The following is a 1,996-nucleotide window of genomic DNA, read 5'->3' as shown; positions in this document are numbered from 1 at the left end:
CCCATGGTGTGTTCTATTATATTGCGGAAAATGGGCACATTTACAATACAGCGTCGACTGCTGCAATGGTCTAAATTTGTGCCTTCCCCCACCACATTTACATATTGAAATCAGTTTCCCACTGAGATAATATTAAGAGATGGAGTCTTTGGTAGGTGATTAGGTCATGAGGGCTTTGCTTTCAGGAATGCAATTCATGGCCTTACAAAAGAGGGCCAAGGGAGTTTCTTTTCCTTTCTGCCATGCGAGAACACGGCAAGTAGTCACCATCTGAGAAGCAGACAACTCTCACCAGACGCTGAATGTGTTGGCATCTTGATCTTGGACTTTTCAGCCATCAGAACTGTGAGCAATAAATTTGGCTTCTTAATAAATCCCCCAGCCTAGGCATTTTGTTATAGCATCCCAAACAGACTAGGACAACCATATTAATTATCTATCGCTATGTGTAACATATTACTCAAAACTTAGTGGCGTGACATAATAATAAACACTTATTCTCCTACATACTCTCTGAGGACTGGAAATCTAGGCACAGTTTAGCTAGGTGGTTCTGGCTCAGGAACTCTCATGAGGTTGCAATCAGGATGTTGGCTAGAATTGCAGTCATCTGAAGGCTAACTGGGGCTAATTGGATCTGATTCTAAGCTCACGTGACTATGAGCAGAAGGTGAAAGGCCTCAGTTTCTCACCACATGGAACCCACCATAAGAATACTTGAGTGTGTTCACCACATAGTGAAAGTATTGGTTACAGTGGTCAGTCTATTTATCGTGAAAGAAGACTCTATGGAGTTTGAATACCAGGAGATAAGATTGATTGAGGGCAATCTTGGAGGCTGGCTACCACACTGACATTGTGGTCATTTGCATTTATATTACCATTATCATTGCAATTGATACCACTGTTGACTAATGACAATCTCGTAACCCAGAGGGAAATAGTCCGCACATTATAAGGTATTTGTGAAGCATAAATGATGTGGTACCCAGTACACAGTGCTGATTGTGATGACAATAATGATGACAGCAAATTTTAGTTAAGTGTTTAATGTGCACCAGGCCATGTTCTAGGTTCATTCAGTCCTCCTAATGCTTGAGATGAGCACAATTATTATACTCGTTTCCCACACAAAGAATGTGTCACAGAGGAATAAAGGAATTTTCCAAGATCACAAAACTTTTAAAAAGCACAGGGAAATTCAAACCTGGGCTGGCCAACTAAAGAGTCCATTCCATTAACCCCTATGCAGTGCTGCACCTGAAAGGCCATCATTAGTGTGATCACTCCCAGGCTTGGTTATAGTGTAATCATGCTGTAGTTATAAAGTAATACAGTAGTAATAGTGTAGCCATAATACTTCTCCTGAGAAGGCTGGCTATTCCTGCATCCCCGCCCCATAGGAGGAGGACATTGTTAACATCATCATTATTATCATTATTTTAATATTATAACTGTGCCTATTATAACAGTGATGAACACTTAAATCTTTCCATGATATGGCTTTATGTCTTCACTTATTCTCCTGGGAGTCTTTCCCTAAGATTTATAAACTTAAAATCCTAAGCCACTCCCCAACTGAATGGACCCCCTTGTGGCCAAGGGGACCCCAGAAAACTCCTTTTTTTTGTTTTTGAGACAGAGTTTTGCTCGTTGCCCAGGCTGGAGTGCAGTGGCACAATCTCGGCTCACTGAAACCTCTGCCTCCGAGGTTCAAGGGATTCTCCTGCCTCAGCCTCCCGAGTAGCTGGGACTACAGGCATGCGCCACCACGCCCAGCTAATTTTGTATTTTTAGTAGAGACGGGGTTTCTCCATGTTGGTCAGGCTGGTCTTGAACTCCCGACCTCTGGTGATCTGGCTGCCTCGGCCTCCCAAAGTGCTGGGATTACAGGTGTAAAGCCACCGCGCCCAGCCCCCAGAAAACTCTTAAATACTTAGTTCCCAGCCATGACAGGATGGAAGGTTAGACAGGCCTCATTATACCCCTCTCTTTT

Source organism: Homo sapiens, chromosome 19 (genome assembly GCF_000001405.40).
Source record: "Homo sapiens chromosome 19, GRCh38.p14 Primary Assembly".
Taxonomy (NCBI): Eukaryota; Metazoa; Chordata; class Mammalia; order Primates; family Hominidae; genus Homo; species Homo sapiens.
Note: the sequence above shows the minus strand (reverse complement) of the source record.